General features: G+C 40.0%; 1 protein-coding gene across 1 annotated transcript in view, besides 1 other annotated feature; it reads right to left on the reverse strand.

Moving 5' to 3' along the window:
* NBAS (NBAS subunit of NRZ tethering complex) overlaps positions 1-25,491 on the reverse strand; it is a 782,426-nt gene that overhangs the window by 165,754 nt on the left and 591,181 nt on the right. The window lies entirely within an intron of this gene.
* Positions 15,484-16,683: an enhancer, noted in NCBI's record as "CDK7 strongly-dependent group 2 enhancer chr2:15100270-15101469 (GRCh37/hg19 assembly coordinates)". NCBI's record gives its function as "activates an origin of replication core promoter dependent on BRD2, BRD4, P300/CBP, MED14 and CDK7 cofactors, with strong dependence on CDK7, by STARR-seq in HCT116 cells {active_cell/tissue: HCT116}" and the evidence as "EXISTENCE:reporter gene assay evidence [ECO:0000049][PMID:35650434]".

Genomic DNA, 25,491 nt, shown 5'->3' on the forward strand with positions numbered 1-25,491 from the left:
TCACCAGCAATCTTTCAAAACTCAAATATGAAGACGAGACAGTCCTCAGGGACACAGAAAGTGAAAAGTGAAAGAAAAAAAAAAAACTCTGAACAGATGGTAAGAGAATCAGGCTTCCACATTCACAATGTCCCTCCCCCCATTCTGCCCAGCACCAAGTGAGCAGAAAATTTTTACCCAATTCACAGTTTCTATACCGGAAATGGTGATTGCCCACCTGAATCTCACTTTCCCCACTATCTTGGGTGTCCTGGCAGGACACTTGCCTCTGCCGTAATGCAGGAGAAGCATCATGAGTGCCTGAAGGGAAAAATGTCCCTGTGACAGGCAAAGACAAAGTGAAGAGGGAGGGCGACCATCCCCATCCCTGGAAACTCTACTGTGTAACTCAGCCAAAGGAGATGCCAAATCAGAGTGGCTGTTCAGCAGCACCAAGCTGCCGGAGGTTTATTCACAGGATCCCTGGGCAGGAACCCCTAGCCAAGTTTCCAGCAGTGCAAGAATATCCCCTTTGGGACTTCCCCCATTCAGGAAGGGCAGCACTCCAATCCTTTACTGAAGCTGAGCCGAACCCGGACTTATGGTGCCACCTAGAGCCAAACAGGAGGCAGCAACCTAGCAGTAAAGAACCACTAAGCAAATATATCCAGGAAAAAACAAAACAAGCCATGTAGAGAGGGCTGGAATAAATAACTAATACTTCAGTGCACAGACACAGACCTACATCACAGAACACAACAGCAAACAAAGAATCATGATCTCCCAAAGAAACAAAGCAAGGAAACAGTGACTCATACTAACAAGATGGCAATATATGAGCTCTCTGATCAAGAATTCAAAACTTTAGTTTTAAAGAAAATCAGTGATTTCCAAGACAACACAAAGCCAACTCAGGAATTTATCATAAAAATTTAATGAGATTAAAATAATTTTTAAAAATCAAACAAAAATATAGGAACTGAGAAATGTACATGTTGAACTAAAAAATTAATTAGAGGCTCTTGACTACAGAATGGATCAAGCAAAAAAAAAGAATCAGTTAGCTTGAAGACAGGCTACTTCAAAATATACAGTCAGAGGAGAAAAAAGAAAAGGAATGAAAAGAAATAAAAATCACCAACAAGATATAGAGAATAGGCCAGACATAGTGGCTCACACCTGTAATATTAGCACTTTGGGAGGCCAAGGTGGGCAGATCACTTGAGGCCAGGAGTTCAAGACCAGCCTGGCCAACACAGTGAAACCCTGTCTCTACTAAAAATACAAAATTTAGCCAGACGTGGTGGCACGTGCCTGTAATCCCAGCTATTGGGGAGGCTGAGGCATTTGAACCTAGGAGGCAGAGGTTGCAGTGAGCCGAGACTATGCCACTGCACTCCAGCCTGGGTGACAGAGCAAGACTCAGTCTCAAAATATATATATTACTTCAAAAGACCAAATCTAAGAATTACTGGTGTTGAAGAGAGGGTATCAAGCAAGAGCAAAGAGTAAAAAGTTTATCAAGGGGATAATAACAGAAAACTTTCAAAACCTTGAGAAAGAGATAAATATCCAGGGACAGGAAGATCTGAGAATACCAAACAGTTTCAACCCAAACAAGACTACTGTAAGGCATATAAAAATCAAATTTTCAAAGACCAAGTACAAAGAGATGATCCTAAAAGCGGCAAGGGAAAAGAGGCAAAAACATATAAAAGACCTCCAATTTAGACTTCTCAAAGGAAACCATACAGGCCAGGAGTGGGATGGCTACAAATCAAAGACTGTAAAAAGAGAAAAAGAAGGTCACTATATAATGATAAAAGGGTCAATTCAGAAAGAAGATATGACAATTATGAATATCTATATACCCAACACCAGAATTCCCAAGTATATAAAGCAAATACTAATAAAATCTAAAGGGAAAAGTATACTGCAAAACAGTAAGAGCAAAGGACTTCAACACCCCACTCTCAGTAATGGACACATCATCCAGACAGAAACAAAGAAGCATGAGAGTTAAACTATACTAGACCTAATAGACCTAACTGGCATTTACAGAACATTTACCCAACTATTGTAGAATAAACCTTTTCATCAGTGCATGAAATGTCCTCTAGAACAGGTGATATCTTAGTCCACAAAACAAGTCGGAACAAATTCAATAAAGTAAAAATCATATCAAGTATTTTTTCTGACTAAAGTGGAAAAAAATCAATAACAAGAGAAACCTCAGAAACTTCACATACACATGGAAGTTAAATATGTTCCAGACCTACCAATGAGTCAATTACAAATTAGAAGAAAATTTTAAAGTTTCTTGAAACAAATAAAAATGAAAATATAACATACCAAATCTATGAAATACAACAAAAGAAGTTCTAATAGGAAGTTTATAGCAATAAATGCCTATATCAGAAAAGTAGAAAGATTTCAAATCAACAGCCTAACAGTACACCTCAAGGTACCAGAAAAGCAAAAACAAAACAAACCCAAAATTAGTAGACGGAAACAAATACAAAGATCGGAGCAGAAATTAATGAAATTGAGACTAAAAAACAATACAGTAGATCAACAAAACAAAAAGTTGATTTTCTTAAAAAGATAAACAAAATTGACAAAGCTTAAACTACACTAGCCAAGAAAAAAGAGAGAAGACCCAAATACATAAAATTAAAAATGAAAAAGGAAAAATAACATTTGAGAACAAAGAAATACAAGGAATCATCAGAGGCTATCAGGAGTAACCATATGCCAAAAAATGGAAAATCTAAAAGAAACAAATAAATTACTGGAAATATACAACCTACCAAGATTGAACCATGAAGAAATTTTTTAAAAACAGACATTAAACCAATAACAAGTAAAGAGATCAGTTGTAACAGGTTTTTTGGTAGAGTCTTTAGGTTTTTCTAAGTATAAGAGCATGTCACCTGTAAACATGGCTGGTTTGAATTCTTCCTTTTTAATTTGGATGCCCTTTATTTCTCTTGCCTAATTGCTCTGGCTAGGGCTTCCAGTACTATGTTGAACACAAGTTGTAGAAGTTGACATCCTTCTCTTATTCCCATTTTTAGAGAAATAAACTTCAATATTTCCCTGTTCAGGGTTTGTCAGATATGGCCTTTACTATTTTGAGGTATGTTCTTTTATAACCAGTTTCATGAGGTTTTTTTTTAATCATAAAGGGATGTTTAATTTTATTAAATGCTTTTTTCATGTCTATTGAGAAGATCATATGGTTTTTGTTCTTGGTTCTGTTAATGTGATGTATCATTATTATTGATTTGCATATGTTGAACCATTCTTGCATCCCTGGGATGAGTCCAGTTTGATCATGGTGAGTGATCTTTTCAATGTATTGTTGAATTTGGTTTGCTAGTCAAATTTGGTTTGATGGAATATATGGTTTGATGGACAAAGTAAGACCTAGTGTTTGATAGATCAATAGGATAACTATAGTCTACATTTTTGCATCTATGATCATCAGATGATGAGTATCAGGTGTGATATTGACCTGTGGTTTTCTTTTTTGTTATGTTCTTGTCTGGTTTTAATATCACTAATGCTGGTATCTCACCACATGTTTGGAAGTATTACCTTCTTTTCCATCTTTTTGTGGAGTTTGAGTAGAATTTATTTTAGTTATTCCTTAAATGTTTGGTAGAAGTTAGCAGTGAACCTATCAGGTCCTGGGCATATTTTTAATAAAAGACATTTTGTTATGGCTTGATCTCTTTACTGATAAATCCAGTAAAGTTGCAAGATACAAAATCAACATACAAAAATCAGTAGCATTTATTTATGCCAACAGTGTAAAATGTGAAAAATTAATCAAGAAACCAATCCCATTTACAATAGCTACAAATAATATAAAATACCTAGGAATCAATTTAACCAAAGAAGTAAAAGATCTATACAAGGAAAACCATGAAGCAATGATGAAGAGGATATTAAAAAAATTGAAAAGATATTCTATGCTTATGGACTGAAAGAACTAATATTGTTAGGATGACAATACTACCTAAAACAATTTATAGATTCAATGCAATCCTCGTCAAAATACCAATGACATTATTCACAGAAATAGAAAAAAAAATCTTAAAATGTATACAGAACCACAAGACTCGGAATAGCCCAGCAATCCTTGGCAAAAAGAACAAAGGTGGAGGCATCACATCTTTACTGCAAAGTGGCTTCAAAATTTACTACAAAGCTAGTAACCAAATTACCATAGCACTGGCATAAAAACAGATACATAGATCAATGGAACAGAATAAAGCACCCAAATATAAATCCACACACTTACAGATTTATCTTCAACAAAAGCACCAGAAACATACAATGGTAAAAGAACAGGCTTTTCAACAAATGATACCAAGAAAACTGAATAACCATTTCAGAAGAATGAAACTAGACCCCTATAACTTGCCACACACAAAAATCAAATCAAATTGGATTACAGACTTAAACTAAGACTTGAAACTACGAAACTTCTAGAAACAACAATAGGGAAAACACTCCAGGACACTGGTTTTGGCAAATAATTTTTGTGTAAGATCTCAAAAGCACAGGTAACCAGAGCAAAAGTAGACAAATTTGATTTAATCAAGCTAAAAAGCTTCTGCACAGCAAAGCAAACAATCAAAGTGAAAAGACAATTCACATAATGGGAGAAAAATTTGCAGACTGCCCACGTGATAAGTGATTGATAACCAGAATATATAACAAGCTCAAAAAACTCAATAGCAAAAAACAAATAACATAATTTTAAAATGGGCAAAAGATCTCAATAGATATTTCTCAAAAGAAGACATACATATGGCCAACAGGTATGTGAAGCAATGCTCAACATCACCAATCATCAGAGAAATGAAAATCAAAACTACAGTATATTGAATAGATATCTGCCCTACCATGTTTATTGCAGCACTATTCAAAATAGTCAAAATATGGAATCAACCTAAGTGTCCATGAATGAATGAACGGATAAAGAAAATGTGATATATATGCATACATATATGTGTGTATAGATATAGATATAGATATATAATGGAATGTTATTCATACATAAAATAGGGTGAAATCCTGTCATTTGCAGCCACATGGATGGAACTGGAGGTCATTTTGTTAAGAGAAATAAGCCAAGTACAGAAAGGCAAATACCACATGTTCTCACTCATATGTAAAGCTTAAAAAGTGGACCTCATGAAGATAGAAAGTAGATTGGTGGCTACCAGAGTCTTGGAAGGGTAGGCAGGAGGTGAAAAGGAAGAGAAGTTGATTAATTGGTAAGAACATATGGTTTGATGGAAGAAGTAAGACCTAGTGTTTGATAGATCAATGGAGTAACTATAGTCTACAGTAATCTATTGTACATACTTTTGCATTAGTTATTGGGGTACAGGTGGTATCTAGTTACATGAGTAAGTTCTTTAGTGGTGATTTGTGAGATCCTGGTGCACCTATCACCCAAGCAGTATACACTGCACCATATATGTTGTCTTTTATCTCTCACCTCCCTTCCACTCTTCCCCCTGAGTCCCCAAAGTCCATTGTATTATTTTTATGCCTTTGCATCCTCATAGCTTAGCTCCCACATATCAGTGAGAACACACAATGTTTGGTTTTTCCATTCCTGAGTTACTTCACTTAGAATAATAGTCTCCAATCTCATCCAGGTCATTGCAAGTGCTGTTAATTCATTCCTTTTTGTGGCTGAGTAGTATTCCATCATATTGTACATTTCAAAATAGCTAGTAGATTATAATTTGAATGTTTCTAACATAAAAAACACAAATATTTAAGGTGATGGATATCTCAAGTATACTAATTTATCCTCACAAATTTTATGAATGTATTATCACATGTACCCCAAAACTATGTACACCTATTATGCATCGATATAAAGAATGTTTTAAAAAACAAGACTGAAATTGTGCACTGTATGGGAGAACTCTTACTCCAGTAGGGATGATGGCAGGTAACAGGTGAGGACAATACAGCATGATAGGCCCCAAGATGATGGTAAGTAGAAGTAGGTGCTATTTGCAAAACAGCCAGGGTGCACCAAGCTGAGGCTGGGTGGTGGACAGTGAGAGGCAAAGGATCACAGAAGACCTTCCTAGAGAAAAAACATTTGATAAAAAAAGAAAGTATTGCTTCTTAATTACTATCCTGGTAAATAACCAAACATATTTCTGAAATACAGTGCCTTTCAGTTGTCATTAATTTTATTAAGCATGGAGAATTTTAGAAGCTTTGTCCCTGTAGTTCTTGAAGAAACAGCTCCCCCTCCATCCTCCTCCATAAAGTCCCTGAGGGCTTGGGGAAAGGACATTTGTCTTTTATTAGTGTTCTCTGTAGCCAAAAGTACTCACCCTCAACCTACTCTCCATATGAGCTGAAAAAGAACACAGCATCTACCCTCCACAGAGTCAATATCTTGATTTCAATTCTATTTCAGACTTAGATTTATACCACTTTGCCTCCATCAGCGAATGTGAGTTTCACCCTCCAGTTTGCCTAGTACACAGAAGAAAGGATGGGAAATAGGTTGAAAAATATTTTCTATTTAACTGAAGCATAGGGTGGAGCTATCCAAATGAGGAAGAGAGTGATCCAGAAACGGAACAAATCATACCACATGCTCGACCCCCCTCCCATCTTAAAGCTAGAGCTCCAGTCTTGGTATGACCAAAGTCCTGTTCTATCCCTACCCTTCCCATCAACACCAACCTCCATGGGCTTTGTCGCTGGAGCAGTGCGTCTGCTGGATGTCCCTTGGGAAGTCATGATAGATCAATTACCCACGTCTGGATTATACCTGGAGAGCCCACCTGAGTATGGCATTGGCACGAGGAGACAAGTGTTACTCACTCTGCGGATCACATCAGCCAAGTACAAGACCTTTTAGCCAACCCAGCTCACTCACCTATGCATTTAAATTTTCCCCAAAGTTTGATGTTTCTGTTTCATACAAGAACTCCGCATTCCTCATTAGAAAGGAATAAAAGCTCCCTTTTATTGAATACTGCCTGTACTTTAGACACTATAGTTAGTGCTTGACATTGTTTATTGCATTTCACCTTCAAAGCCACCCTGTGAGGTAGTTCTTACTCATCCCAGGTTACAGAGGAAGTTAAGTAACTGGGTAATTGACATGGGAGCAGGCAGAAAGGTACATGTGTGTCAAATTCCTCTTAGGGCTGCTCTTGAGTCCGTATTGTCTGACCACAAAGCCTTTGCTCTTTTTCTACAACCCGGCTGTCTTCCTCCGATTTTCACATATTCTAGATGTCCATGGAATCCAGTTGGGTGGAAACTGTCTTCATTTCATTGGTGGGGGAGGTGAAAAGCTGATTAAATATTTTCACTCTCTGGTACTCTAGAATTCCAGATGGTAGAGCCACTTCCTTCTGCACTCCCTCTACCTCTCAGAAAGGACCCTGCCTCCCCCTGGCCATCCCCACTAAGCTCAGCTCAGGGGATCCTCTGACTTCCTGCTTTGCTCCAGGAAGCTGGTGCCCCAGTAGCAGCAGCACCTTAGCAGAGCCACAGAATCCCTGCATGGAAAGTCCTATAAATGGCACTCTCACGCCCAGGTGCTTACAGAGTAGATAACATGAAGTCAGGAGAGAGGCTGTAGAAGAGCCCCAAAGGCTTCCATCTTCCTCCTGTCTTTTTTCTTTCTGGCAGCAGATATGAAGAGGACAAAGATTATTTTTCCCCTTTACTTCTCCTTCTGGCCCTTTGGAAATTTGCTCATGCAAAACACTTGTTTAACACCCACTCAGTTCCAGGCCCTGTGCAAAGCAAGAAGAACCCAGGGATAACTTGAGATGTGGTCAGAGAAAGAACAGAAAACAGAAGATCAGAGGCTAATGGAGTGAAAGCTGTAAGAAAGCTACCTGACATGCTCCTGACGCCCAGAGGAGGGCACGTTCATTCGGCCAGCCTGTTTGGGGCGTTTTTCATGTCACATTAGCCTCAATGATGCCAGTCATGCATGCTTTTAAGCAGAGAAATGACCTGATTAATTGTGGTTTTAGGATAATCTTCCCAGCAGGGAGTCTTTTCAAGGTCAGAAACACCCAGCACCCAGCAGAGCGCCTGACAGGGTGTTCACTGATTCCAGTAATATTTGCAGAATTCCTGTTATATCCCAGGCTCTCTGGACACATAATGTGCAGCAATGAATCCCTGCTCTAAGAGAGTAAAACAGTCAAGTAAGCAGACTGCTAAGTGCATGATATGGTCACACGTAGGAGAAGCAACTCAGGGAGTCTGGAGCATGTCAGCCCTGGCTGCCCAGACATGATGTTTAAGGTAGAGGATGAAGGTAGATGGAGAGGTAGCAGTTCACCAGAAACATGGGGCAGAAGTTGGAGGGACTGAGCAGGGAAGGATGTTCTGGGTGGAGGAAATAGCACAAACAAATGCCTGAAGGCAAGAGGGAGTGCGACTCAGTCAGTGACTGGCCCTGGTTAGAGTGGCTGGAGCTGTGAGATGGAGCTGGAGGGCTGGACGGGCCACACTTCTTCTGCTAAACTGAAATGGCTGCAGTGAGGACAAAACTGGAGGGAGAGACAGAGCACCATTTGGACTACAGCATGGTGAACTGTATCAGGGAGGATGATGAGAGTCAGGGCCAAGGCAGTAAGAGAGGGAGAAAAGGAATCAGAGGAGAACAGGTGTTTGAAGATGAGGTTATCAAAAGACATCAGGAAAGGATCCACATTCATTTTCTTTAAGTAAAAGAGATAAAAATAACCTTAAGAGCATTGCACAAAGCAAACGTCTCAGCAGCAGTCTTCACAATGAAAGGGTGCAGTCACCCAAGGTGTCAACTGGCAACAGGACTGCCTGATCAGGGCGAGGATCCCCTAGCCCCATGGAGTGGTGGATGTGGGTATGTGTGTCTGGTCATCCCCTTTCCTAGAGACTCTGGCTAAACTTCCTACCTGCCCAGGCACATAGAACCAGTAAGAGCTCCATCCATTGCTGACACCAGTTTTCCAGGGGCTCCGTGTCCAGACTTTCAGCCAGCCTAAAATCAAATTCCACAGGGGATGAGGAAAAAAGAAGAGTAGCACTGGAGTGACTCCCAGCATGGATTGGGCTGTGAGAGGAAGAGGAGCAGCTTTCGTTAGAGTTGGTGGCACTAGGCAGAGTGAGGTACAGAAGATAAATGGATAAAAAGTTATAAAAAGGCAGATGCCTCAGAAGATATAACCATGAGAGGTGATGCTTCATGGAAAGGGATGTGGTGCTCTGGATGGGACAGGCATGGAAGATATCTGGGTGCCAGGGGTCAAACGCTAGAGCAGGATATTTTACCTCCCTGAACCTGAGTCCACAGTAATAAAATGGGCCAATAAGCCCTACCCTGCTTCATTCTTAAGATTTTCAGAAGAAACCAAAGTGGTCTGACGAATGTAAAAAGTGCTTTGTGCATGCCAGACCCTCTGTTGATTGATGTAAAGGCAGAAATTATCTCATAAATCTGTAATGACTATGGAAATGGCTACTGAAAAAGTACAAACAGAATGTTAAGAGTGGAAATGCCATGTTCCAGGTGTTTTCCCAGGATGTGCTAAAATGAATTAATTGAGGTCTGCTATGTGGAAAGTGTATGGGCGCATGCATGAGTGTTAGGTAGGGGGAAGGAAAGATGCAGGATGCCTGCACGGGGGAATCAAGGCATGAATGCTTCCCATGCATTTGGAGATGAGTAAACATCTTCACCTGCTCTGGGCACAGTGGCGACCAGCAGGCAGGACACATGCTGACCACCTGTTTGCTGCAGTCTCTTAGGCTATGTTTCTTTCTCTGGAAGCATCCCTTGTTAGTGAGAAATGGAATCTTGATAAGTGTTATGGGTTGTATTAGTCCCTTCTCATGCTGCTATAAGGACATACCCAAGACTGGGTAACTTAGAGAAAAGAGGTTTAATTGACTCACAGTTCTGTATGGCTGGGAAGACCTCAGGAAACTTACCATCATGGCAGAAGGGGAAGAAAACACATCGTTCTTCACATGATGGCAGGAGAGAGAAGGTGTGTCAAGCAAAAGGGGAAGCCCCTTATAAAACCATCAGATTTCATGAGAACTCACTCACTATCACGAGAACAGCATGGGGAAAACTGCCCCCATGATTCAGTTATCTCCACCTGGTCCTACCCTTAACATGTGGGGATTATGGGAACTACAATATAAGATGAGATTTGGGTAGGGACACAGCCAAACCATACAATTGCACTCCTGACCCCTTCCAAATCTTATGTCCTCACATGTCAAAACACAATCATGCTTTTCCAACAGTCCCCAAAACTATTCCAGCATTAACCCTAAGGTTCAAAAGTCTCATCAGAGACAAGGAGAGTCCCTTCCACCTATGAACCTGTAAAATCAAAACCAAGTTAGTTACTTCCTAGATACAATGGAAGTATAGGCATTCGGTAAATACACCTATTCCAAATGGGAGAAATTGGCCAAAACAAAGGGGCCACATGCCCCATGGAAATCCAAAATCCAATAGGGCAGTCATTAAACCTTAAAGTTCCGAAATGATCTCCTTTGACTCCATGTCTCACATCCAGGTCTCACTGAGGCAAGAGGTGGGCTCCCACAGCCTTGGGCAACTCCAACCCTGTGGCTTTGCAGCATACAGCCCACCTCCCAGCTGCTTTCATGAGCCAGAGTTGAGTGTCTGTGGCTTTTCCAGGCTCATGGTGCAAGCTGTCGGTGGATTTACCATTCTGGGGTCTGGAGGATGGTGGCTTTCTTCTCACAGCTCCAGCAGGCAGTGCCCCAGTGGGGAATCTGTATGGAGGCTCTGACTCCACATTTCCCTTCCACACTGCCCTAGCAGAGGTTCTCCATGAGGTCTCTGCCCCTGCAGGAAACTTCTGTCTGAACATTCAGGCATTTTCAGACATCCTCTAAGATCTAGGCAGAGGTTCCCCAACCTCAATTCTTGACTTACGTGTACCCATAGACCCAACACCATGTGGAAGCTGCCCAGGCTTGGGGCTTGCACCCTCTGAAGCAATGGCCTGAGCTGTACCTTGGCTCCTTTTAGCCACAGCTTGAGCTAAAGTAGCTGGGACACAGGGAACAATGTCCCAAGGCTGCATAGAGCAAGGGTCCCCAGCCTCCACTCACAAAACCACTTTCCCTCCTACCTCTCCAGGCCTGTGATAAGAGGGACTGCCATGAAGGTCTCTGACATACCCTGGAGACATTTTCCCCATTGCCTTGGGGACTAACCTTTGGCTCCTTGTTACTTATGCAAATTTCTGCAGCTGGCATGAATTTGTCCCCAGAAAATGGGTTTTTCTTTTATATTGCATTGTCAGGCTGCAAATTTTCCAAACTTTTATGGTCTGCTTCCTCTTGAATACTTTGCTGCTTAGAAATTTCTTTCACCAGATGCACTAAATCATCTCTCTCAGTTCAAAGTTCCACAGATCTCTAGGGCAGGGGCAAAATGTCACCAGTCTCTTTGCAAAAGAAAAGCAAGAGTCACTTTTATTCCAGTTCATAACAAGTTTCTCATCTCCATCTGAGACCACCTCTGCCTGGACTTCATTGTCCACATCACTACCAACATTGCGGCCAAAGCCATTCAACGAGTCTCCAGGAAGTTCCAAACTTTCCCATATCTTTCTGTCTTCTGAGCCCTCCAAGTCTCAAGGAAGTTCCAAACTTTCCCATATTTTTCTGTCTGTCTTCTTCTGAGCCCTCCAAACTGTTCCAACCTCTGCCTGCTACCCAGTTCTAAAGTCACTACCAAATTTTATGGTATCCTTATAGAACCCCACGCTCTGTAGTACCAATTTACTGTATTAGTCCCTTCTCATGATGCTATAAGGACATACCCAAGACTGGGTAACTTATAAAGAAAAGAGGTTTAATTGACTCTCAGTTCTGCATGGCTGAGAAGGCCTTAAGAAACTTACAATCATGGCAGAAAAGGAAGCAAACACGTCCTTCTTCACATGGTGGCAGGGGAGAGAAGGAGTGTCAAGCAAAGGGGGAAGCCCCTTATAAAACCATCAGATCTCATGCGAACTCACTCACTATCATGATAACAGGATAGGGAAAACCACCCCCCAAGATTCAATTATCTCCACCTGGTCCTGCCCTTGACACGTGGGGATTACAGGAACTACAATTCAAGAAGAGATTTGGGTGGGGACACAGCCAAACCATATCATGGGTTGAGGTATGCTCCCCCAAAATTCATATGTTGAAGTCCAAATTCAACATATGCAAAGTGATCTTATTTGCAGATAGGATCTTTATAAAGGTAATTAAGTTAAAGTGAAGTCATCAGGGTAGTCCCTCATCCAACATGACTGGTGGTGTCCTTATACAAAGTGGCAAATTTGGACATAGAGATATTCCAAGAGAGAAGACAGTATGAGACACAAGGAGAAAACAGTCATCTCTAAGCCAAGGAGAGGGGCCTGGAACATATTCTCCATCAGAGCCTTCAGAAAGAACCAACCCTGATGACACTTTGACCTCAGACTTCTCTCCAGAACCGACCAAAAGAAAAGAGAGCTATTTGGGAGGCACTAGCCCTGTTTCTCTGGATAATATCTTACTGGCGTTTAGTTTATACATATACGTGTGTGTGTGTGTGTGTGTGTGTGTGTGTGTAAAGTCCTGTGATGAAATAAGTGAAATGCAATGTAATTTTTTCGTGACAAGGTACAACAGAATTACCTTTTCAAAAGTTCTCAGGAAAGAACCTTATTTAGCTTTAACATAGAATTTCCCAAGCGCATTTTATCAAGTAATACCCACTATCTTTGCATCAAATTCCAGGGTGACACAAAGATCAGTTTGAGGGTGAAGACACTAGGTTGTTTCTTGGGCTCCTCCAATTTTAACATTGCATGAATTGCTAAATCTAATTTCAAACTCTCCTTGGGGAAGGTTCCTACCCACCTTTCCAGCCATTCTCCCTGATTCTGCTTCCAAAACCTCCTCTCCAGCCAGGTGGCCTCCTCCTTGGTCCCTCACCATACACGTCTTCCTTGCTCCTTGGCTCCAGCCGTCAGCCCTGCCTGAGCGTCCCATCTCTCTTTTCCATGTAGCTACAGATAAGTCAGCCCCCTGCACCTGTCTCATCCTTCCCACCAGGGGAACCTTCCCAGCTGCCATTTGCTGAGTGCCAACTCAGTCCGAGAATACCTGTTACTTCATTTCCTCACCACTGTGAGCACCTTGAAGCATAGCAACATTTGGGGACATGCCAAGTTTACTCATCTAGTAAATGGCAGATTTGGGATGGAAACCCACAGTGGGCTGATTCTGGATGATTCTCGAGATAAGCCTCTGAACCCATCTAGGCTTCCCACCTGCATCTATTCTCTGGCCCTCTGACAGATGTGTGCATATGGTGAGTTTGCCTTGTCCTTTAACTTGCCATGTGTTTTAAACTTGTCACCCAGCCAGGCTGTGAAGTCAGGAACTATACTTTTCTCTTCTTGTGATTGCCCCAGAGTCCCATTTAATTGAAATTAACATTTTACTGGTAGAGACAGAAGGCAGAGTGAACCAGTGGGAGAAGCCCAGGTGAGAGCAGGAGACCCGGGTCCTGGCCTCTCCCACAGCCAGCTGCCTGGCGTCCTTGGAGAGTCACTTTCACTCATGGAGTCTTTGTTTTCTCATCTGGGCAGGGTTGGATTTAACGATCTCTAACTTCCCCTTTGACATTTGACAACTCAATCAGCAGAACTCTGAGAGAAAATGCTAAGGGGCACTGGAGCCAAGCTGCTCACAGAGGGTCTCTGAGGAACCAGCTGAGTAGCATCAAACAGAAGCCAAGGGGACCCAACTGGCAACAATGGAGCAAATGCGCTACTCAGTTACTGAGATTTATATTAGAGGGATGAGAAATGAGGGGTGGGAACCTGTAAGAGGAAAGGATATGGTAAGAGCAATGGAACACGGGCATCTGTTATAAATCTTCCACCTTCAATTTCTCTTAAAGATGTTTATTAACAAAATGCTTCATGAGGCTTTGCTTTTGAGAAAGTAAGCAATTGTGGAAACAAAAGTTGATGATATGTAAAGAGTGACTTGAAAAGTAATCAGAGCAATACACAGGTTGCCTGCCTTATCTTTAAAAGTAAAGGTGGAACCTCACATCAAGAAAAAAATGGGGATCTACCAGGTCCATAAAAATAGGGGCTCTATAATCACAAACCGGAGGATCTAGGGCATTAGAAATCAAAAAGTAAATCCTGAGGATTATAAAAGGGATAAGGAAGGAAGACTGGGGATTGCAGTGGGAAAGGAGGAAGGGTGGAGTAACACTGAAGAGGCTTGGGTGACCCACATTTAGGATTTAAGTTCATGCCTTTGAGGATGATGAAGGAAGGAGTTGAGAAGAACTCTCCATGGACATATGGCAACAAGCACTGGGGTGGGACTCAAGACGCCTGTGTTTGTGTCCTTACTCCACCACCACCAGTTGGTTTGGTGATCTTGCACAAGCCACTTCAGCTCAATGAAACTGTTCCCTCATCTGCAAAGAGAGATGCAATTCCTATCTGCTCATACTGAGCTTTACCAGGTGCAGGTAAAGCCCATAATGCACCAGGTACATTGAGACATGCTATACACATGCACACTACCTTACAACAGAAGAATCATCGTATTAACCCTCTGGAGGCATCAGGCCTAACAATGTACCACCAGTCTCCATGGCATCTGCCTTCTCTAGATTTCATCATCCCTTACCTTAACCATTGCCCAACTGCTTCATATTTTGCAATTTTGATCCATTGTGGACCAGAGCAATCTTTCCAAATTGCAACTGTGATCAAGGCTCTCTCTTTCTTACAGTCCTTCCCAACATATCTAGAATACATTTTATGCTCCTTAAGAACACACATAAGACCCTCCATTACCTGCCCTCCATCCACCATTTCTAAACATTAGTTAACCACTTGCTGTGACAATTCTTATACATCGGTCACATTGAACTATTTGAAATTCTGTCAAGATACTTTGATCTTCCATGATTCCAGGACTTTGTACATGCTTGCTCCTTTTCCTGAAGTGCCTTTTCCCATATGACATGTTCCATCTTACTCCTCAAACCCAGTTCAAATACAATCAAGACCTACTTCAAATACAATATTCCCTGAGAAGCATTCCCCGTCTCCCCCAGGCAGTTAATATTTCTGTTACCTTCGATTTTTATCAAAACATATTTTTTCCACACTGGAATTTCTATCATTTCCTTTAGGTAAAAAAATGTTCCAAAAACTACTTTTTCAGCTGGATTCTCTGCTGTTTCCTTGGTAGCCCTGAAAATTCTACTGTATTGACAGCTCCAAGGTCAGTGTTTTGGAAATGACGTTTCTTTTACCTTATAGTACTTGCTAGAACTAAACTGCACTTGGAAAAAAAATGGATATGATTTTTAGGTCATCATCTGCCATATGGAACATTTCTGTAAGTGTAAGAGATGAGGCTGTGCAGAGATTCAAATGCTTTTGTTAATTCTAGAGACTCTTAACATCTGATTGAGAATTCCCTCCTGTGCCTTCACAGTGCTCTGTGCACAGCTGTAGCACAGCGTTTCATCCATACTCCTCACTGCTATCTACTTCTCAACTTCCCATAGAAGGCCCTAAATGCTTTATGGCTTGAAACTATGTGTTTATCTCCATATTCCCTAGCACACAGCCCAGTTTATGAGACACAGTGGCACTCAATCCAGAAATGTTCATTGGATGAATAATAGCTTCATTTGTAGAGTGTGTTCTATTTGCCAGGCATTATCCTAAACACCTTCTGTGCATTAAGTCTTCTAATTCTCACAATATCGCTGTGAGACAGGTTTTATAATTATCCCCACTTTGATGATGAGAAATCTAATGCCCAGAGTGTGTGTGAAGAAGTCTGCTTTAAAACAAAGACACTCTGGCAAGAGAGCCCATGCCTCCACACTACATTACCTTGACTCTCATGTTGAATAAATAAAACATTTATGAGTCCAATTCTAATTGAGCTCTTTAGCCTTTTGTCAGTTTTGAGGAAAAAAATAAGGTAGGTCTAAATGCCGAGTTGTTTTATTCAGTATGTATTCACCAAATGACCACTTTGTGCCAAATGTCTTCCCTGTGTTCTTAGGGATCCAAGATGAGTCACCATTGTTTCATAGTCAATGAACAAGACCTGGCCTTCCTTCTAATCCATTGCCAAAAACAGCATTTCCTGCTGTATATTGTTGTGTTTGAGGTAGAAGGAAGTTACCACCTAGAGGCAAACCTCTCAAAAGCAGCAAGTCACCCTGACAGCAGCAGACTTAAGGAAGGGCTCAAAGATCTCTGTGAGGCGGCCATCAATACCCAAAGCAAGATGGAGAAGACATTGTTCTCCCAACAGCTGGCCTGGAATTCCTCTTAGGGACAGTTTTCTTTGGAGGGGTTGACTCTCTGTGGTATGACTGTCAGCTGCCCCCTAGTTTCCATGAAGGAGAACTGAAGAGGAGAATAAAAACTTGCAGCTCTCAGGAGAGCAACCTTAGAGAAATGGGAGTGAGAAGGAAAGGTGGGAAGGGAAAAACAAAACTCAGATAATGTAGCTTGAACATTTGTCTACTCCAACTCTCATGTTAAAATTTAACCTGCAATATTGGAGGTGGGGCCTAGTAGGAGGTGTCTGGGTCATGGCAGCAGATCCTTCATGAATGGCTTGGTGCCACACTGGAAGTAATGAGTGAGTTACTGCACTATTAGTTCCCACAAGAGCTGATTTTTTTTTTTAAAGCTGGGCCCCCTCTCTGCCCATGTGATCAGCACACACTGGCTCCCCTTCACCTTCTGCCATGAGTGGAAGCAGCCTGAAACCCTCAGCAGATGCAGATGCCAATGCCATGCTTCTTATGCAGCCTGCAGAATAGGCCAAATAAAGTTCCTTTATTTATCAATTAGCCTCATGTCTTCCTTTATAGCAACACAAATCGACTGACATAGGATCAAAATAAAAATAATAATTTCATTCTTATAGTAAACCTCTGACACAGGTACTATTATTATTCCTACTTTATAATTTAGGAAACTGAGGCACAGAAAGGTTAAGTAGGGAAATGTGTGTGTGCCATAACCCTTCTCTATGATTTTCTTTTTTTCAGTCTTGTGCTGTCATCCAGGCTGGAGTGCAATGGCACAATGTTGGCTCACTGCAACCTCCACCTCTCAGGTTCAAGTTATTCTCCTGCCCTCAGCCTCCCAAGAAGCTAGGATTACAGGTGCCCGCCACCACACCCAGCTAATGTTTTTGTATTTTTAGGGGAGATGGGGTGTCAGCCAGGCTGGTCTCGAACTCCTGACCTCAAGTGATCCACCTACCTCAGCCTCCAAAACTGCCAGGATTACAGGCGTGAGCCACTGAGCCCAGCTCTTCCCTGTGATTTTCTATATCGTCCCAAAACTTTACCAAAATGTATTAGAATTATGGGTGAGTTTGATACTGTGGATATTTTTCTTCACAGCGTCCGTCCTGAGCTCCCTGTGTGGGTTGATTTAGGGCAGAAAGAGGGCTGGAGCATATGTAGGCACATGTCTGTCTGGGACATGGGAGATTTGAAATGACAGCATGCATTAAACAGCAAGAATAACCACCACCACGGACAGCTCAGAGGGAGGGTTACATGTATGAACTGTAATTGGTTCAATTGCTGGGAAACAGAAAGAAATTTCTTAAATTTTTCAGAAATCCAAACTAAAGTATCCCTAGAGTCACTGGAAGAAATTTCAATGGATAGGAGAGCTCCAAAAGCTGTAAAGAATCTACCCAGATTCTCTTTCACCTTCCACTGGGGTTCACTAAAGCGATCTGCTTGAGACCAGGCTGTCATGGAGGGATAGATTCTTTTGTTCTTCCCCTTTTCACAGTTGTTGTTATCACACTTTACCAAAAAAAGCTTATCTCCCATCCCTTTCAAGAATTCAGATGGTGCATTGTTCAGGGTATAAAAGTCTCCCAGGACAAAAGACACTATTCAAAATACAGTAACCATCTCTAGCACAATGAAAATTGACGTATAAGGTCATTAGCCATTGACGCTCCACCTCTGCAGCAGACTTACCCCTACTTTTCACTGATGTCACAACAGGCCTGCATTTTAGGACACTGAAATTTTTAGATTTCATAAAAGGCTTGTAATAAATTAAGTTGCTGTTGCAAAAGGGGATTATTCCTAATACTTGTGTGGCATCAGGGCTGGCAAACGACAGCCTGCAGGCAACCCCTCCCACAAAACAAAGGAGAAAAAAAAAAACAAAAAACTGTTTTTTAAAAAATAAAGTTCCAGGTCGGGAGCGGTGGCTTACATCTGTAATCTCAGCACTTTGGGAAGCTGAGATGGGTGAATTATCTGAGGCCGGGAGTTTGAGACCAGCCTGGCCAACATGGTGAAACTCCGTCTCTACTAAAAATATAAAAGTAGCCTGGTGTGGTGGTGTGTGCCTGTAATCCCAGCTACTCAGGAGGCTGAGGCAGGAGAACTACTTGAACCTGGGAGGCGGAGGTTGCAGTGAACCAAGATCGCGACCCAGCACTCCAGCCTGGGTGACAGAGTGAGACTCCATCTCAAAAATAAATAAATAAATAAAAATCAAAAATAAAGTTCCTATGGGAATACAACCACACTCAATCGTTTAAATATTAGCTAGCTGTATTCATGCTGTAACAGCAGTGCTGAGTGGTTAAGACACAGACCATCTGGCACATGCACATGAAGCCTATATTTACTATCTGGCCCCTTATAGAAATCATTTGCCAACCCTTGGTGTAACACATACTTTTTCAAGTCAGGTAGTTTCAAATTATTTTCTTTCAACAAAAAGGAAAGAGAACTGGAAGGTGTGTGTTTAACACCTACTTTCCTTCTGGGAACCTGGAATTCTGGTGCATGCTAGGCAGAGGATGCTCACACGACCAGCACCCAATTAAAACCTTAGGTGCTAAATGACTAAGGAGCTTCCCAAGTAGATAACATTTCCCATTTCTTGTCACAACTCCTTGCTAAGGGACTGAAGTGCACCTGTGCAATTCCACTGAGACAGCACTCCTGGAAGCTTGAGCCCAATTTTCTCTGGACTTCACCACATGTGCTTTCCCCTTGATGATTTTGCTTTGTGTACTTTCGCTATAATAAATCCTAGTTGTGAGTAGGACAATATACTGATTCTGTGAGTCTCCCTAACCCATTCCCACCAGCCAGGCTGGAACATCTCATAATTCATGAAATACTCAGACGAGTCTTCCTCAGCAAAGCGGAATAATTAGCCTAAGGCTAAATGCTACCGTAGCCTAGCAAACAATTATTAAAAGCAAGACCTAAAAAAAATCAAATTGTTTCTAAGCAACTTAGCTTATTCTAACAGAAAATAAAATCAAGAATATTTATAGGTATACAATACCAAACACTGAACAAGGTAAAATTTACAATGCCTGGCATCCAATCAAAAGCTACCAGGCATGCAAAGCAGCAGAAAAATACTAATCACAAGATAAGGTAAATCAATAAATAGAAACCATCCAGAACTGACACAGACGTTGGGATTAGAAAAGACATTAAAACAATTATTATTATAACTGTATTCTATGTATCTAAAAAGTTAGAGACATAAACAATATTAGTAAGATTCAAATCAAATTTTTGAATTGAAAACTATAATGTCTGAGATAAAAAAATACACTGGATGGGATGAATGGCAGTTTAGACATTACAGAAGAAACTGGAATGGCATAGCAGTCACAACTATTCAAAACAAAACACAGAGCAAAAAAGGATCAATTCATGAAGAGGACATAACACTCCTAAAAGTTTATACACTTAATAATAAATAATCAAAATACATGAGGGAAAATTGATTGATAGAACTAAAGGACAAATAGACAAACCCACAGTTTTAGTTGGATGTTTTGATACTTTTCTGTTAATAATGGATAAAACAAGTAAGCAGAAAAGGATATAGAATATAGGAAGAATATAGATGGCTTGAAAATAACACCACACAACCTGATTAATTGACATTTATGGACAATGGCACAATATGCACATTTTAAGTACACAGGACACACTGGTCAGGATAGAATACATTTTGAGCCATAAAAAAACTCAATAAAATTAAAAGGATTTAAGTCACACAAAGTATGTTGTCCAGCCAAATGAAATTAAATTAGAAATTAGCAACGGAAGAATCTCTTTCAATATTGCCACATATTTGGAAAACTAAACAACACACTTCTGAATACCATATAATCAAAGAATAAATCAAAAGGGAAGTGAGAAAGTATTCAGAATGAAATGAAATAACACATAATATAAAAGTGTGTGGTATACTGATAAAGCAGTACTTAAAAGGAAATTTATAATACTAGATACCTGCATTAGAAAAGAATACACTCTCAAATCAATAACTTCGCCTTCCGTTTTAAGAAACTAGAAAATGATGAACAAATTAAGTGCAAAGAAAGCAGAGGAAGATAAATAGTAAAGATCACAATGGAAATTGATAAAATAGAAAACAGAAAGATAGTAAGTAAAGCCAATCAACGCAACTAAAATCTAGTACTTTGACAGATCAATAAAATTGAGACCCCCCCTACCCAGACTGGTTAGTTAGAAACAAAAAGAAGGCATAAACTACAAATATTAAGAATTATTATAGATTCTACAGATATTAAAAGGATAATTCGAAAAGGTTAAGAACAATGTTATACAAATAAATTGTACAATTATGGTGAAATGAACAAAGACCTTGAAAGACACGCACTATCAAAGTTCACTCAAGAAGAAATAGATAAATTAAATGGCTCAATATCTATTAAAGAAAGTGAATTTGCAGTTAAAACTCTTTGCAAGAGAGAACTTCATAGCCAAATGGCTACACTGGAGAATTCATTCAAACATTTAAGGAAGAAAATATGACTAATTCTACACAATTTATTCCAGCAAATAGCAGAGGAGGGAATACTTCCCAATTCATTCTGTGAGTCTAGCATTGTCCCTAGAGCAAAACCAAAAAATTAAGACAGTATTTTCTAAAAGTATGAAAAACATCTCTTATGAATATAAATGCAAAATTCTAAAAAAAAAATCTAACAAATTGATTCCAACAACATATTTTTTAAAATAATACTTCATGATTGTAGAGGGTAGAATTGGGTCTCTCAGAAAGATATGTTAAGTTGTAACCCTTGGTACTTGTGAATGTGACTTCATTTAGAAATCAGATCTTTGCACATATAACCAAGTTGAAGTGAGGTTAAAGTGGATTAGGGTAGGCCTGGTGTCCTTATAAGAATATAGAAATTTGAACACAGAGATAAAGAGACACAAGAAGGACAGCAAGTGGCAACGGAGGCAGAGGTTGGAGTAATGCAACAACGAACCCCAGAACACCAAGGGTTGCTGGCAACCACAGCAGCTAGGAAGAGACAAGGAAGGATAAGTCCAAGAGCCTTCAGGGAGAGCATGAACCTGGAAATCTTGTCAGACTTGAAAACTCCAGAACTATGAGAGAATAAATTTCTGTTGTTTCCAACCACCCAGTTTGTGGTACTTTGTAACGGCAGCCCGAGGAAACTAGTGCAATAACTAAGAGGAGCCTATCCTATGAATGCAGGTCTAGGTTAACGTTTGAAAATCAATTAATGTAATCTACCATATTAACACACTTGTTAAAAATAACATATGATCTTCTCATCTATTCATCCTTCAGTATATGCAGAGGATTGGTTCCAGGACTCCCTGAGTATACCAAATCACACATGATCAAGTCCGTCAGTCCCCCAGTACAGCTGCTGATACTAAAAGTCGCCCTCCATATACACAAGTTTCCCATTCTGCAACTACTGTATTCTCCATCTGTTTGATTGGAAAAAAATCCACATGTAAGTGAACCCACACACTTCAAACCTGTGTTACTCAAAGGTGAACTGCACTAATAAAAACCCTCAGCAAAGTAGGAATAGAAGGGAGTATCTTCAGCCCCACCTTCAAAAATCTACAAGTAATATATAATGACTACTTGTTTTCTCCCTGAGACCAGTAGCAAGACAGGGCTGTCCACTCTCGCCGTTTCTATTCAGTATCATATCAGAAGTCCTCTTTAGGGCAATAACTTAAGAAAAAGAAGTAGAAGTCATCCATATTCAAATAAAATAGTAAAACTCTTTGTTCACATATAACCTGATCATCTACGCAGAACATCTGATAGAATCCACAATAAAGCTACTAGAACTAATAAGTGAGTTTAGCAAGGTTTTGGTATACAAGATCAATATACAAAAATCTATATTTATATACACTAATAAAAATCATGTATACTGATAAACAATTAGAAATTTAAAATACCATTATTAATAGCGTAGAAATTATGAACTACTTAGTGATAAATCTGCCACAAATGAGAAAGACTTAGATAATGAAAACTATAAAACACCACTGAGATATATTTAAGAAGACTTAAATAAATGGAGAAACATATTGTGTGTATGAACTGGAATACTGAATATTACTAAGGTATCAGTTCTTCCCCAAACTGATATATAGATTCAATGCAATTTCAATCAAACTACTAGCAGAATTTTTTTTATAGAAAGCCAGTTTCAAAATTCACACGGAAATTCTAAGGATCTAGAATAGACTAAACAACTTTGAAAAAGAGCAAAGTTGTAAGACTGATACTACCCGATTTCAAGACTTTTTATAAAGCTACAGTAATCACACCAAGCCTCCACTGGCATAAAGATAGACAAATAGATAAAGAAAACAGCATAGAAAAGTTAGAAAAGGAATATACATAGTTAATGACCAATTATTGACAAAGGTACAAGAGCACCTCAGTAAAAACTATTCACATGCAAAAATTAACTTAAAATGGAACATATACCTAGAGGTAAAAGTTAAAACTAAAATTTCTTAGAAGAAAGGATAGGATTAAATCTCTGTGGCCTTGGGTTAGGGAAAGGTCTCTTAGCTACAATATCAAAAGCACAAACAGTAAAGGAACAAAAGATAAATTGGACTTAATCAAAATCAAAACTTTTGTACTATAAGCAATATCATCGACAAAGGTAATCCACAGAATGGAAAAAAATATATTTGCAAGTCATGTATGGAGTAAGGGACTTGTATGCAGACAGTGAAAAAGAGTAACTCCATTTTGATGTTTTCCTCTTGGCAGCTCTCAAGCCTCACCACTCTTCCCCCACATCTGGGCAAACTGATAAGAAAGCCTGTGTACTCCCTCCTTTGGCACTGGCAAGAGTTAAAACAGCAAAAGCCTTGGCATGTGTGTGAGAACCTCCCCCTAGCTCCACCCCCTAGCCATAATAAAGGACAAGCCAATCTTCTTTCCTACTCTCTCGGGCCATTCTTGTACTTACTTGAAAGGCTGCCCTGCTCTCTGCAAAAAGCCTGATTATGTGAGCAACAAAGCTAAGCTTTTCATACCCTCTTGATGCATGTGTGGTGTTATCAGTGTTGACACCCAATCCAAATTTTGGGTAAGGGGGCCCCATTCCACTTCCATGGGATAACCATGACACAGAATATATAAAGAACTCTTACAATTCAATAATCAAAAGACAAAGAACCCAATTTAAAAGTTGGCAAAGTCTCTAAATAGTCATGGTCTCCAAAGAATGTATACAAATAACAATAAGGGTATGAAGAGATGCTCAACAACTTCATATGCCCCTGAGGTTTGGAATTTTTTTTTTTTGTTTGGTTGGCTTTGGGTTTTGTTCTTTTTTAGAGTTGTGGTTTTGCTATGATGTCCCAGCTGGAATGTAGTAGCTACTGACAGGTGTGACCACCATGTGCTGTAACATCAAACTCTTGGCTTCAAGAAATCCTCCTGCCCCAGTCTCTTGAATAGCTGCAATTATAGGGGTGCACTACTGTGCCTGGCCGAACATGTTTAGTCATTAGGGAAATCCAAAACAAAACAAAAATAAGATACCACTTCACACTCTCTAGGATGACTATAATCAAATAGACAAACAATAGTCTTCCAAGAATGAGGAGAAATTGGAACTCTCTTATATTGCTATGACAATGTAAAATTGTAAAGTTGCTTTGGAAACAGTTTGGCAGTTCCTCAAATTACTTACATGTAGAGTTTTAAATAATTCCAGCAATTTCACTGCTAGGTATATATCAAAGAAAAACAAAAATGGACACCCGCATAAAAATTTATATTAAAATATTCATAGCAGTATATTTACAATAGCCAGAAAGTTGAAACAACTCAAATGTCCATCAACTGACAAGTGGATCAATAAAATGTCACATATTCACACAATGGTATATTATGTGGCCATAAAGAGCAATGAAGTACTGACAAACATGGTACAATATGGATGAACCTTGAAAACGTTATGCTAAGTAATAGAAACTAGTCAACAAAAGGCCACAAAGTATATGATTCCATTTCTATGACATGCCTAGAATAGTCAATTCTACAGAGACAGAAAGTAGATGAGGGGTTGCTTAGGGCTGAAGAAAATGGGTACCGTGGGGTGAATGCTTGTTAGGTATGGGGTTCCTTTTGGAGTAAGAAAAACATTCAAAAGTTGATTGTGGCATAGTTGCACAAATCTGAATATTTGTGCAACTAAAACCATTGATCACATACCTTACCTAGGTGAGCTGTACAGTATGAAAATAATATCTCAAAGTTATTATTATTATTATTATTTTTGAGATGGAGTCTCATACTTGTCGCCCAGCCTGGAGTGGAGTGGTGCGATCTCAGCTCACTTCAACGTCTGCCTCCCGGGTTCAAGCGACCCTCCTGCCTCAGCCTCCTGGGTAGCTGGGATTATAGGCACACACCACCATACGCGGCTAATTTTTTTATTTTTAGTAGAGACGGGGTTTCACCATGTTGGCCAGGCTGGTCTCAAACTCCTGACCGCAGGTGATCCGCCTGCCTCGGCCTCCCAAAGTGCTGGGATTATAGGCGTGAGCCACCTTGCCCAGCCTGTAAGTTATTTTTTTTAAATGCAGTGGAGAAAGGTTAGTCTTATTAGTAAACGGTGCTGGAAAAAATGGATATCCATAAACCAAAACAAATGAAGTTCAATCCACACATCCTTTCACTGTATACAAAAATTAACTTCAAATAGGTCCCAGTGATAAAGGCTTCGGGTGGTGGGGGGGATGGGAAGTCAAACTGGGGAAGGATGCAACAGCTGCTGAGACTATAAAGACATCAGAAGGGCTCCAAATGCAATAACAACCATGGACTCTCATCAGGAGAATATCTGAAACTTGCCCAAAGGTAAGAGTCAAACTTAAACTTTTAGAAATAAACTTTTAGAAAATAAACTTTTCAATTTAAATAAACTTTTAGAAAAATAAACTTTAGAAAAATTATCTAAATCTAACTTTAGAAAAATTAGTTAATTTTCTAAAATAAACTTTTAGAAAAATCAGTACTTCAGGCCTCTATTGAATCA

This window comes from Homo sapiens, chromosome 2 (genome assembly GCF_000001405.40).
Source record: "Homo sapiens chromosome 2, GRCh38.p14 Primary Assembly".
Lineage (NCBI taxonomy): Eukaryota > Metazoa > Chordata > Mammalia > Primates > Hominidae > Homo > Homo sapiens.